Source organism: Homo sapiens, chromosome 4 (genome assembly GCF_000001405.40).
Source record: "Homo sapiens chromosome 4, GRCh38.p14 Primary Assembly".
NCBI lineage: Eukaryota > Metazoa > Chordata > Mammalia > Primates > Hominidae > Homo > Homo sapiens.
Window position 1 is genome coordinate 143,525,109 of NC_000004.12, and position 13,029 is coordinate 143,538,137.

General features: G+C 36.0%; 1 protein-coding gene across 2 annotated transcripts in view; it reads left to right on the forward strand.

Moving 5' to 3' along the window:
- SMARCA5 (SNF2 related chromatin remodeling ATPase 5) overlaps positions 1-13,029 on the forward strand; it is a 43,785-nt gene that overhangs the window by 11,407 nt on the left and 19,349 nt on the right. For both annotated transcript variants that reach the window (NM_003601.4, XM_047416323.1), the window contains exons 5-11: positions 343-443; positions 1,173-1,352; positions 2,760-2,915; positions 3,475-3,606; positions 5,350-5,418; positions 9,747-9,856; positions 11,344-11,570. In NM_003601.4, the coding sequence (NP_003592.3) occupies positions 343-443; positions 1,173-1,352; positions 2,760-2,915; positions 3,475-3,606; positions 5,350-5,418; positions 9,747-9,856; positions 11,344-11,570 (975 nt within the window). The remainder of the gene's footprint in view (positions 1-342; positions 444-1,172; positions 1,353-2,759; positions 2,916-3,474; positions 3,607-5,349; positions 5,419-9,746; positions 9,857-11,343; positions 11,571-13,029) is intronic.

The window sequence follows — 13,029 nt, forward strand, 5'->3', positions numbered from 1 at the left end:
GAAAGCTGAAAATACTTGGTTAGGAACACTTGGTTTTTCATTAAAAAGACGAGAGGCCAAAGAGTCTCTCAGACCAGTATATGGGTAACGTAAGAACTGAGTTGTTGGAGTGGGTACTCTGATGCCCGCAGTCATGTTTCCCGCACTTGATTATCTTCCATGTCCAGCTTTTCCACTTCAGACCATGGCAGCTACCTCTAGTATTTTGGAACTTGCAGAGTTCCTATTCAAGAATCCGTTAGTAATGAAAATAAAGTCAGTAGATATGTGTAGGCTTAGATGAAGAGATTGCCTTGTATTTCTTGTCTTAAAATGCCTATTGTGCTTTTCTTTTGTTCTTAGATGTAAAATGGGGTAAACTGAGAGATTATCAGGTCCGAGGATTAAACTGGCTCATTTCTTTGTATGAGAATGGCATCAATGGTATCCTTGCAGATGAAATGGTATGTGTTGGTAGTTTTTTTTGAAGGGTATGTTTTGTATTGAAAATATCTTATACGTTGATAAAAGTTTCTTACAGTCTACAACTGTTAGCAAATGGATCCTCTCAGAAACTAGTATAAGCAGCTTGCCTTAGTTGCATAAGTGTGATCTGTATTTTAATTGTGAGAAATTTCCATCGCTGAAAATATGATAAATTTAAAAAGAATACATTTGAGAAACATGTTTTTGGATGACTTTTATAGTACAATGATTTATTTGCTTCCAGTTTTGTAAAACAAAAGTGAGGTCATTAATTGTTTATAATTGATAAATGTTTTTTCCAGGTGGTAGCTTGTACAATTCTTAGAAAACATTTATCTTTTGTTAACTACTAGTTATGTAATGAATGTTTAAAAAAGTTTCCTTATTGCTATAATGCTAAAACGTTTAATTGGTTGGAGAAAGTATGAAGTCAAAAGAAATGTGTTTCAATGCTAGCTCTGCTAGATGACTTTGGGAATGTCACTTAAACGGGGCCTTATGCGGGTGATAATAATACCTCCTTTAGAGACTTGTGAAAATTATATGACATAACACTTACAAACTTTGATATATGTTAAGTTTTTGCCATTTATTAACTGTTATAAATATGTAGCATTTCTTTTGAACATTTCTATATGTTGGGAGGTATAATTGTGAAATAATATTTTCATTTTTCACTGCTTCATGGTTATTTTGAAATCTTTCAGGGCCTAGGAAAGACTCTTCAAACAATTTCTCTTCTTGGGTACATGAAACATTATAGAAACATTCCTGGGCCTCATATGGTTTTGGTTCCTAAGTCTACATTACACAACTGGATGAGTGAATTCAAGAGATGGGTACCAACACTTAGATCTGTTTGTTTGATAGGAGATAAAGAACAAAGAGTAAGTTTCTAGTATTTCATTACATTTTTGAGGCTAAAATAATTTGAATTCAGGCTTGGGTATGGGTATAGCTGGAAGAAGGATAAATGAGACGGGATCTTCGCAAATATTAGTATTTACAAATGTAGCATTGTCTTGGTGGATAAAAAACAGCACTTTGGGAGGCCGAGGCGGGTGGATCATGAGGTCAGGAGATCGAGACCATCCTGGCTAACACAGTGAAACCCCGTTTCTACTAAAAACTCAAAAAATTAGCTGGGTGTGGTGGCACGCATGGCCTGTAGTCCCAGCTACTTGGTAGGCTGAGGCAGGAGAATCGCTGGAATCTGGGAGGTGGAGGTTGCAGTGAGCCGAGATGGCGCCACTGCACTCCAGCCTGGGCAACAAAGCAAGACCATCTTAAAAAAAAAAAATCATACTGGGAAGAAGACATTAGAAATGGTAGAAAGCTGTAAGACTGTAGTTTGTTTCTCTCCCTTTTGGGAGTGGTTGTATAAAATCATTGGTTGTGCTCTCATTAGAAGTTATTTTCTTGTTTTTAAAAGATATTTTGAAATGTGAGTTGGTTGGAAATTTAAGGAGCCACATTTTTAGATGAATGTGTGTAGTGGTAATAGTCACAGAATTAGAGTTTTTAAAGACGGGTTGAGTCATATATAGTAATTTGGTGATTTATTATGATATTTAACAAAATAAGTTAAAATTTCGATCAGTTGACAACATCCTTGTGGGAAGAAGAGATGGAAATAATGACATTAGTATATAAAGCTCAGATTTGGAAATTTATTCAGACTCTACTGAATAGCTGTGTACTTGTTTTTTATTTCCTCTTCATTTACCTGTGAGTGATAAGTCTATATTTTTCTCTCCCTTTCTAGTTATGTTGGATATTTTAAGTTATCAATTTTTGTTTGTTTGTTTGGGAGCCCAAAGAGTGGTAATTACTTAACCAGTCTTTGCTTCAGTTTCCTTACCTTTAAAATAATACTATTAGGAATGTGTTAATACATTTATAAACCTGAAAGGAATGCAGATGCCTACTACTGCTAACTATCTTTCCACCCTCTTCCTTTCTTTATGTTAAAACCTCCCTCTTTTTTGTCTAAACCTGCCTCCTAAGAATTTCCCGATCTAGTGGAATTGCAGAAAGACATTTTAAGTGTCTATTGAATTTTTCACTGGTTAACTTTGTCAGTTTTTTAAAACTTAATGGTTCTGACATTTAAATGATTAATGACGTTACTTTAGTCTTAGGAAAGCTGGTTCTAAACGTTTGCATAATATAGCTAGCTACTCTACTCCTTTTTAGTATTCCCACCTCTTTTTATATACTAGATTACTTGTCATCAGTAAATGTAATGCGTAGTTTATTTCTACGTGATGTAATTTTTTTCTCTTGTTACACAGGCTGCTTTTGTCAGAGACGTTTTATTACCGGGAGAATGGGATGTATGTGTAACATCTTATGAAATGCTTATTAAAGAGAAGTCTGTGTTCAAAAAATTTAATTGGAGATACTTAGTAATAGATGAAGCTCACAGGATCAAAAATGAAAAATCTAAGGTAATTTGATACTTAGATGTGAAAAGCCTTCATGTAAGAATTTGATTAAAGTACAGATTTTTTTTTCTTTTAACTTTAAGTTATGAGATACATGTGCAGAACGTGCAGGTTTGTTAACATAGGTATGCATGTGCCATGGTGGTTTGCTGCACCCCATCATCTAGGTTTTAAGCCCCGCATGCATTAGGTATTTGTCCTAATGCTCTCCCTCTGCTTTCTCCCCACTCCCCGACAGGTCCTGGCATGTGGTGTTCCCCTCCCTGTGTCCATGTGTTCTCATTGTTCAACTCCCACTTATGAGTGAGAACATGTAGTGTTTGGTTTTCTGTTCCTGTGTTAGTTTACTGAGAATGATGGCTTCCAGCTTCATCCATGTCCTTGCAGAGGATATAAACTCATTCTCTTTTATGGCTGCGTACTATTCGCTGATGTATATGTGCCATATTTTCTTTAACCGGTCTATCATTGTTGGGCATTTGTGTTGGTTCCAGGTCTTTGCTGTTGTAGATAATGCAATATGCAGAATATTCTAATGGTGTATTTGGTTCTTTTCTTTCAGTTGTCAGAAATAGTGAGGGAATTCAAGACTACAAATAGACTATTATTAACTGGAACACCTCTTCAGAACAACTTGCATGAGCTGTGGTCACTTCTTAACTTTCTGTTGCCAGATGTGTTTAATTCAGCAGATGTAAGTATTTCCTGGTGCTTTCTGGTTAATAATAATATTTTGCTTAATGCTATATATTTTTGTAATAAAAGTGGCCTGCCTTTTAGCATGGCTTGAGGTTATTATTAATTTTTTATGCTTTTATTTACATAGTTAGCCTGGTGTTATCTCCTAGGTTGTCTCTGTATAATGGGAATTTACTTTTGTGCCTTTGGTTTCAATCTTATTTCATTATTATTATTATTATTTTATTTTTTTTGAGACGTAGTCTCACTCTGTCACCTATGCTGAAGTGCAGTGGTGTGATCTTGGCTCACTGCAGCCTCCACCTCCGGAATTCAGGTGATTCTTGTGCCTCAGCCTTCCGAATAGCTGAGATCACAGGTGTGTGCCACCATGCCCGGCTAGTTTCTGTGTTTTTTGTAGAGATGAGGTTTTGCCATGTTGTCCAGGCTGGTCTCAAGCTCCTGGCCTCAAGCGATCTGCCTGCCTCAGCCTCCCAAAGTGCTGGGATTACAGGCACGAGCCACCACACCAGGCCTCAGTCTTCTTTAAATCATTGTTTTCTCTATCTGAAATGGCATAAATTGTCACTCCTATTTGGTAAGTCAGGTTGGCCTGACTTTGTTTCAGTGGCTCTAGGTTGACTGGTTATGTTTTTAAGGTGCTGCTCAAGGTATTCCTGAAGTGATTTGTATACCTCACATTGCTTATGTTTTAAGTCCCAAGGATGACTGTCAAATTTAGTGAAATCTGTCTGGCTTTTCTTATATTATAGTCTAACAAACAAATAGAACCTAATCTTTATGGATTATTTATAGTCATAGAAAGGATAGTAATGGTTAATTAGCTATTTGAACTGTTAATAGTAATATAATAACTATGTCAAGAGTTTGTGCTATTAGAAATTGCAGTTTTTTTTGCCTGGACCAGTGTTTATTTTTGAAGCTTTGTTTGCATAGCTGGCGTCTTATGTGTATTGGAGGGATTTGAAGAGCTCCATGTTAGTATATTTTTGTACAATTAAGTTATAAAAAGGTATTAATTAATTTTGTTTTTTTTCTGTTGAAGATTGTTTTGAAAGAATAGATTGTGTTGTAAAAAGATATTTAATCAGACTCCAAAAGCAATTTTAGCTTCGATTTTATGTATTTTGATGTTTTTGAGATAATTCCTGTTTCTCACTACATTGACACTTTCATTTACTTTAAAGCAGTGAATTCTAAGATTATGTTTACTCAAAAACAAAGCACATATATAATACATATGTTCAAGAGATGAGGTTAGGGAAACTGCCCTTGTTGAAATCGTAACCAAATATTAATGAAATGCTGGTAATTTCAATTTCATTTAGTAAGTTTGATTAAAATTGACATTGTTCGTAAACTTGTATTTGAGTAGTGCGAATGGTCTCAGAGAACAAACTATAAAATGTTTTAATTTTCAAGCTTTTATGAAACTTGAAAGATACTTTACAAGAATATTAATTTTCTAATCCTATAGAACTTGCTCTCCAACTTTTTACTGTGAAACTTGTTATTTTGATGTTTTTGAGAAGAATGTTTAGAAGGTAGTGTGATTTCTGAACTACTTGTTTTAAAATTAGTAACAATGACACATGAAAACCAGGATTGGACTAAGTGATTTTTTTTTGTGGGTTACAATTCAAATTACTAATTCTAGAAATCATTTCTATATCTGGTATTATAGGGTATTTGTTAATATTATCTCTGATCTGAGTATATTTTTTGTTTGTTTATCTAGGACTTTGATTCCTGGTTTGATACAAACAACTGCCTTGGGGATCAAAAACTAGTTGAGAGGCTTCATATGGTAAGTATTTTGGAGTAGTGTTAAAGCATATTTATGATGGGAAAAAGGATAAAGGTTTAAATTAGTAGATTATTTTCCTGTTAATAAAAAACACAATGGCTTAAGAATCAGATCTGCTTGAATTCTGACACTTAACTCTTACATCTTACAATCAGTGTAGGGGGTGATGTGTGGTTGTTTCAGTGTTAGAACCTAGAATGGAATCCTGACTTAAGGGAGAAAGTATTCTCTTACAGTTATACAAAATACAGTGGGGGGAAGAAGAATTGCATAATAATTAATATAGACAAGTTTTTGTTGTTGTTTTTGAGACAGTCTCACTTTGTCGTCCAGGCTGGAGTGCAGTGGCATGATCTTGGCTCACTGAAACCTCTGCCTCCCAGGCTCAAGCAGTCTCTCCCCATTCAGCGTCTAGAGTAGCTGGGGCTACAGGCTCTGGCCACCATGCCCAGCTAATTTTTGTATTTTTTGTAGAGATAGTGTTTCACCATGTTGCCCAGGCTAATCTCGAACTTCTGAACTCAAGTTATCAACCTGCCTGCCTTGGCCTCCCAGAGTGTTGGGATTACAGGCATGAGCCACCACGCCCGGCCTTAATAGACAAGTTTTTAAAGCTTAGTTCAATTTACATTCCATGGAAGAATCTAACAGGTTCACTTTTGAAAGGGCTAAAGATCCATCTGTTTTTTCTTAAATCTAGCTACATTGTGTATAAACAACTGCTAATATTGCATTATGAGCACAGTTGGTATGTTTTTGCTTGCTGTATAGCTTTGTTTCTACATACAGCTTCCTGTGACGGTTCACAAGTAAAAGTTGGTAGGTAGAGAAACTTCTCTAACAGACACCAGATTAAAATACCCTGCTAAGCAGGTTAAAGCAGGAGCTTGTAAGAATGTTATATAAAGCCCTTAATGACCTAACTCAGGAATTCTCAGCCTCTTTTGACATTTTGGTCTGGGTATATCTGAGAGGGGTAAGGAGAGAGGGGAGAACGTGATTGTCCTGTGTATTGTAGCATGTTTAATAGCATCCCTGATACTTTTACTCACTAGATGGCAGTAGTAACATTCCTCCAGTTGTGACAACCAAAAATTTCTCTAGACATTGCAGATGTCCCCTGGGGAACAAAATTGTGCCCCTCCATGACCTAACCTTTTTAACATTCTTTGGCATCTGTTTTACTTCTTCATATATTGAGCTTTAATTTGATAGATTGCTGACCCCACTGTCAGTTTTCTGTAAACATTGTGGTAATTCTAATCTATTTTTGCTTATCATTTTTGCTACACCTAGAATCCTTTTTCCTGGTCTCTTTACTAATACCTAGTCCAAGACTCAGCGACATCACCTCCACTGAACCAGCCAGGCTGAGGCTGGCCTAGGTGCCCTTCTGTGTATTCCATCTTTAACAATCTGAGCATCCTAATATTATAGGACTTTGCAGAGGATATTGAGATGATTCACAAGTGTTTTCCATACTGGATTGTAAGCACAAAGGCAGGAAGCACAGATTTATTTGTCTTTGTATACCTGGCACAATGCCTAGTTAGAGTGGATATTTGAACAGGGAAAAAAATTTAAGTTCATGATTGTTCAAATATTTCATTATAAAGTACTTTAAAATTCTTAAATATTGAGAGTTTTGTTAAATATTTGAAGGTAGTAATTTCCTAGCTACCTTTGTTTCAATTCAGATGGCATTCATGCATCTAAGCACTCTCTTTGTATTTACTTAGACCAAGGATTGTGGAGTGTATATGTAATCTTGGGGGTAGAAAAGGAGGCAGAAGAACATGATTTTTTTTCATGCATTTTTTTCCCCTTATTCCTCTGCTCTTGGCTTTCCTTTAGTAAATACGTAGGTACATCTAGGTAAAGCAAATGAACAACCCATTCAGCAGTATCAACCAGATTTGGTAACTCTGTTTTGTTCACAGGGTATTTTGAAAATGCTTATGAAGTCAGGGAGAAGAGGTCTTGTAGCTACCTCTCTACTTTCTCCTGCTCTTTACTTTGAAGTTTCTACAGTAGCACCTGTGGTCTTATAATGAAAGGAGGGTTTAGAAGTCGGTATGGATGCGCTTAGGAATGAGATAACTCTTATTTGATGTATTAGTTATCTAATGCTGCAAAAGAACCCCTTATTCCCTCCACCCCCCAAAAACACCTTAACCCCCCTTTAGGGGTTACTAAGACCCCCTTATTTCCCCCACCTCCAAAACACTTCATAGTTTATATTTTATTAACAACCCCAGAATTTATGGGTTGACTGGATGGTTTCTTTGTGGATTACACTTGGGGTTATCCAGTTACATTTATTTAGCTGGACAATGCTAGAAGAGAACCGGTGGGGCTAAAGGTCTTCACTTACACATCTGGCAGTTGCTGCCGCCTGTTGACTAGGGCTGAACTAGCTTTTCTACGTGGTGATGTTAGAGAGGTGTTGCTGGTATTTTTCCCACTAATGTCTAATTTGGTTTGTGATATAGTCACTATTTTTAAAAACCAGTGTAAATAGAACAGAGGTACAAAAAAGGGTATCTTTAGTTGTGTAGTTAATTTTAAAACTTACTGTTCTATGAAAATGAGTGAACTACTACTACATATAACATGGAAATGTCTCATTGTTTAATAAAAGAAACCAGATATAAATGGGTGCATATTGAGTGAGTCCATGTATATAAAGTTAAAAATGATAGGCAAAATTAATTTATGGTGTCTAAAAATAAGAATATTGCTTACCCTTGGGAAGGAAAAGAGGGGATAGTGATTGGAAGGGACACAAAAATGATTTCTAGAGTGTTCTATTTGGGTAATAACATGGGTACTTTTACAGTACTTGAATAAAATTTCTAGAACTGTACACTCATGATTTATTGAAGTGTGTACTTTTATATTCTTTCCCTAAGTTAGTACATTAAGTTTAAAGACTAACCATAAGGAGATCTTAATGAGACCCTTGTCCATTCTTTTTTTTTTTTTTTTTTTTTTTTTTTGAGATGGAGTCTAGCTCTGTCGCCCAGGATGGAGTGCAGTGGCGCCATCTTGGCTCACTGCAAGCTCCGCCTCCCGGGTTCACACCATTCTCCTGTCTCAGCCTCCCAAGTAGCTGGGACTACAGGTACCTGCCACCTCGCCTGGCTAATTTTTTGTATTTTTAATAGAGACGGGGTTTCACCATGTTAGCCAGGATGGTCTCGATTTCCTGACCTTGTGATCTGCCTGCCTCGGCCTCCCGACCCTTGCCCATTCTTAGGCACTGTTAGACAGTCTGCATGCAAGTAACTAGTTTTAGACCTGAAAGGCAGCAAATTGTTGAAAACATTTTAAAAATTTACTATTGTTTTTAGTATTTTATGGTAGTATAACAAGTATATACTCAAACATATACAGGCACATCTCATTACCCTTTGCAGTGCTTCACAGATACTGCATTTTTAAGAAACATTTATTTTGCGAAACAAATAGATGGTTTGTGGCAACCCTGTGTCAAGGAAGTCTATCAATAAACACCGTTTTCCCAACGGCATGTGTTTACTCTGTTTTTAAAGCAGTAATGTATTGCTTTAAATAATGTATCACATTTTTAAAGCAATAATGTACTTTTAAAATAAGGTGTGTACGTTGTTTTTTTTTTAGACATAATGCTATTGCACACTTAATAGTGTAAATGTAACTCTTAGATGCACTGGGAAATGTGACTTGCTTTATTGAGGTAGTCTGGAACTGAGCCTACAATATCTCTGAGGTATGCCTTTATTGAATAAGTAATGGTCTTGTATTACTACCCTTCAGGAACCCAGTAGTAATAAATTATATACAGTTAGCCCTTCATATCCATAGGTTCCACATCCATAGATTCAATCAACTATGGATTGGAAATATTTGTCCCCAAAAAAGATAAAAATAAAATAGATGGTTCCATCTGTGTTAAATATACCGACCTTTTCCTTGTCATTATTCCCTAAACGGTATAGTGTAACAACTATTAACATAGCATTTACATTCCATTAACTATTATTATAAGTAATCTAGAGATGATTTAAAGTATATGGGAGGATGTTTGTAGGTTATATGCAAATACTACATTTTTTATAATGGACTCGAGCATTTGTGGATTTTGGTATTCAAAGGGAAGGGGACAGGAACTAGTCTCCCACAGATACTGAGATATGACTGTATTTGCAGGGAGAAGTCCTAAGAAATCACTTGATACTCACGCAGAGAAATTTCTTTTTCATGTATTTTATATACAATTCTAAGATGCTGAAATATGACCTTATGTGTAATATTGGTATTACCTGTTTATTTTTGTCCTTTTTAAGGTTTTGCGTCCATTCCTCCTTCGTCGAATTAAGGCTGATGTTGAAAAGAGTTTGCCTCCAAAGAAGGAAGTAAAAATCTATGTGGGCCTCAGCAAAATGCAAAGGGAATGGTATGTATTCTCAGATGTACTTGATAGCACTATTGATTCTTCCCTAAATTTCATGTGTATTTTGTTTTCCTAATTTGTGTCTTCATGGAATTCCAATTTGCTGGATTGAACTCAACCTGAAAAGAGTTTTCTTGTCACGTAGTATAGGACTTGCTCATTAAGTTCGTTATAGAAAGTTTTGAACCTGTTAGATGACAGAATCAGGATGGAAGGCTTATGAATCCAAAATTAAAATTGGGATTTAATTAAACGGGGTTCATATGAAACCATCTACTTGGGATTTTTAAAAAGGAAACTGTGATAGCACAGTGTGGGAGATATATGGTTCACTTATAGTTCATAAATACTGGGTCAGTGTAAAGTAGCTGCAGAAAAAGATACTGTTGGCCTTAATGTAAATGTAGTGTTCAAAGGAGAGGAAATAAATATAGCTACCCTTTTCTTTACTGGTCTCATCATATTTCATGTATATTTAACTGCATACTTAAATTTTGATAAGTATTTGCAAGAGGCCAGAGTTGTTTGGTTAAAGGACTTAATATCATATAGAGAACTGGGCATGTTATCTGGGTAAGAGGTTATCTGTAGAAGGTGGTTGGTCCTAAATGTCCTCAAAAACTTCTGAAAGGGTAGCAGATATTAGGCTTACCTTGGATGGCTCTAAAACAGAACTAAGATGAGTCAATGCTAAGGAAAGACAAATCTTTTTTAGTTAAACATTTGAGTGAACTTTATATCAGAATTGAGATGGAAAGGTCTGCCTTGTTGTTTAAGCATAGATTGCCTAGGCTACTTACTTTGTTCAAAGGATCCAAGGCTCTAAAACTTTGATGCTTAGACAAATTACTCATTCTTTCATAACAATGTCTACATCCTTAGTATATGTTCAAGGCTTTTTATAATCTGGCCTTAGCTTATGGCTGTAGCTTCACAGTCCTGCCTCACAGACATACCTCCCTCCCCCATGTATTTATACGTATGTTTAAGTCACGTTGTATTCATATTATTCTCATCATCATGCCTTACCATTTCATTATTCTTCCTGTCTTCTCAGATGTTAGGGTTCTTACCTAAATGCTACACTAGCTATGGGGTATATAGTAATCGAATAGTGGCACTTTCTGTTGCAAAAAAACTGCAAACTAAAATTATGTTTAAAACTTACATTTTTTAAGTTTTGCTTTATTACTTAAAAATATTATGTCTTACTGCTGTAATTCTACCCAAGGGAACTGTTTTTGTACTTTAAAAATAATATCCTCAAGGCCCAAGGCGTAAGTATGAACATTATAATGCTATGGACAGTAAAGAAAAATGGAAGCAAAAAGAGGTTACAGATGTTAAATTCCTAACCATACCTAGAAGTTGATGAGTAGTTTCTTACAGATATTTGGGGGTTCATGTGGGGAAGGGGATTAAGTATGTAAAGTGGCAGGGATTGATCAAGGAACATTTGAGCTCTAAAAATGTTTTTCTTCTTTGAATAGGTATACTCGGATATTAATGAAGGATATAGATATACTCAACTCAGCAGGCAAGATGGACAAAATGAGGTTATTGAACATCCTAATGCAGTTGAGAAAATGTTGTAATCATCCATATCTCTTTGATGGAGCAGAACCTGGTCCACCTTATACAACAGATATGCATCTAGTAACCAACAGTGGCAAAATGGTGGTTTTAGACAAGCTGCTCCCTAAGTTAAAAGAACAAGGTATCGGTTACCCGTATCAAATTATCAAAACTGTTTTAAAATGCTCATGTTAAAACAAAGGAGCACTGTACTTTGAAATGACTGCTCTGATGCTTTCCAAGGTTGACGTGTAGAACATTAAAAAAACCTGTTCATTATCTGAGCTCTAACCCCCACTCCTGATTTTAGGCCTTAAGTCTCTTAGAAGGTAAGCAATAGTTAGAGCAACCATACTCCCTTGATTTTGGGAAGAGTTCATACTTTATATATACTTTCCTAGAAATTATAGCTTTCTGTCATAAAATGTGAAGAATGCATCTCCCTCCCACACATGGTTACCAGATCCATTGTTAGACAGTGGTGGTGTGTTCATGATATTGTTTTTTAATTATTTATGTGGAGTTTTAATTTAATAAGGTACCATGTACATGGACCTGAAACATTTTTATTTGTAGTATGCTGACTTTTTTTATGAAAATGGGTATGTCTGTGTTGTGTGTTTGGGTATATTTAAATTACACGAATGCAGAAAGAACTTAGAAGCCAGCTTCTGATTTTAACTAATAAAAACGTTTTTAGTCTGCTATACCCTTCCTCCTCCCAGATTATTCGAAGCAAACGCCAGACACTATAGCCTTTCATAAATTATTACATATCTCTTAAAGATACGAAATATCACTGCTATAGTATTAAGTGTGCAGATTCAAGTTTGTGTTTCTCTCTATATTTTAATAAGAATGACATTTGGACCAGTAGGTGAATCTCCTCTATGATACTATCAAAAGCATGTTGTAAGAGTTGTCAGTGAATGGGTTTACTTTTTCCTTTTCATACCTTTTTGTAGAGATAGATTTTTAAAAAATGCTTTCCTTGAAAGCAAAGTAATTAAAGGAGTTAAATTGGTGGGGAGGAGTGGCAGGAACGTGGTGGGAATACTCAGATATTAATGAAAGGTATATTAAACTCTGCAGGGAAAATGGAGACTATTAAGTAGTCTCATGTCCCAGCACTTTTTGGAAGGCTGAGGTGGGCAGATCACCTAAGGTCAAGAGTTTGAGACCAGCCTGGCCAACATGGTGAAACCCTGTCTCTATCAAAAATACAAAAAAAGTTAGCTGGGCATGGTGGCATGCACCTGTAGTCCCAGTTATTTGGAAGGCTGAGGCAGAAGAATCACTTGAACCTGGGAGGCAGAGGTTGCAGTGAACTGAGATGGCGCCGCTGCACTCCAGCCTGGGTGTCAGAGCAAGACTCCATCTCAAAAAAAAAAAAAAAAAAAAATTCTTATGCATTTGAGGTGCAGGAACGTGTGACAACAGCAGATTGTCAGCCTCTGCTTCTAGGACAGGATCATTTCATAATCATTACTTTTCAAAATGATCCTTTGTCTTGATATATTCTACTGAAGGTATTATGTAGCTGCCTAAAGAAGTGGAAGGCAGTCGGATAGTTTGAATCATGGCAGATAAGTGATAAGTGA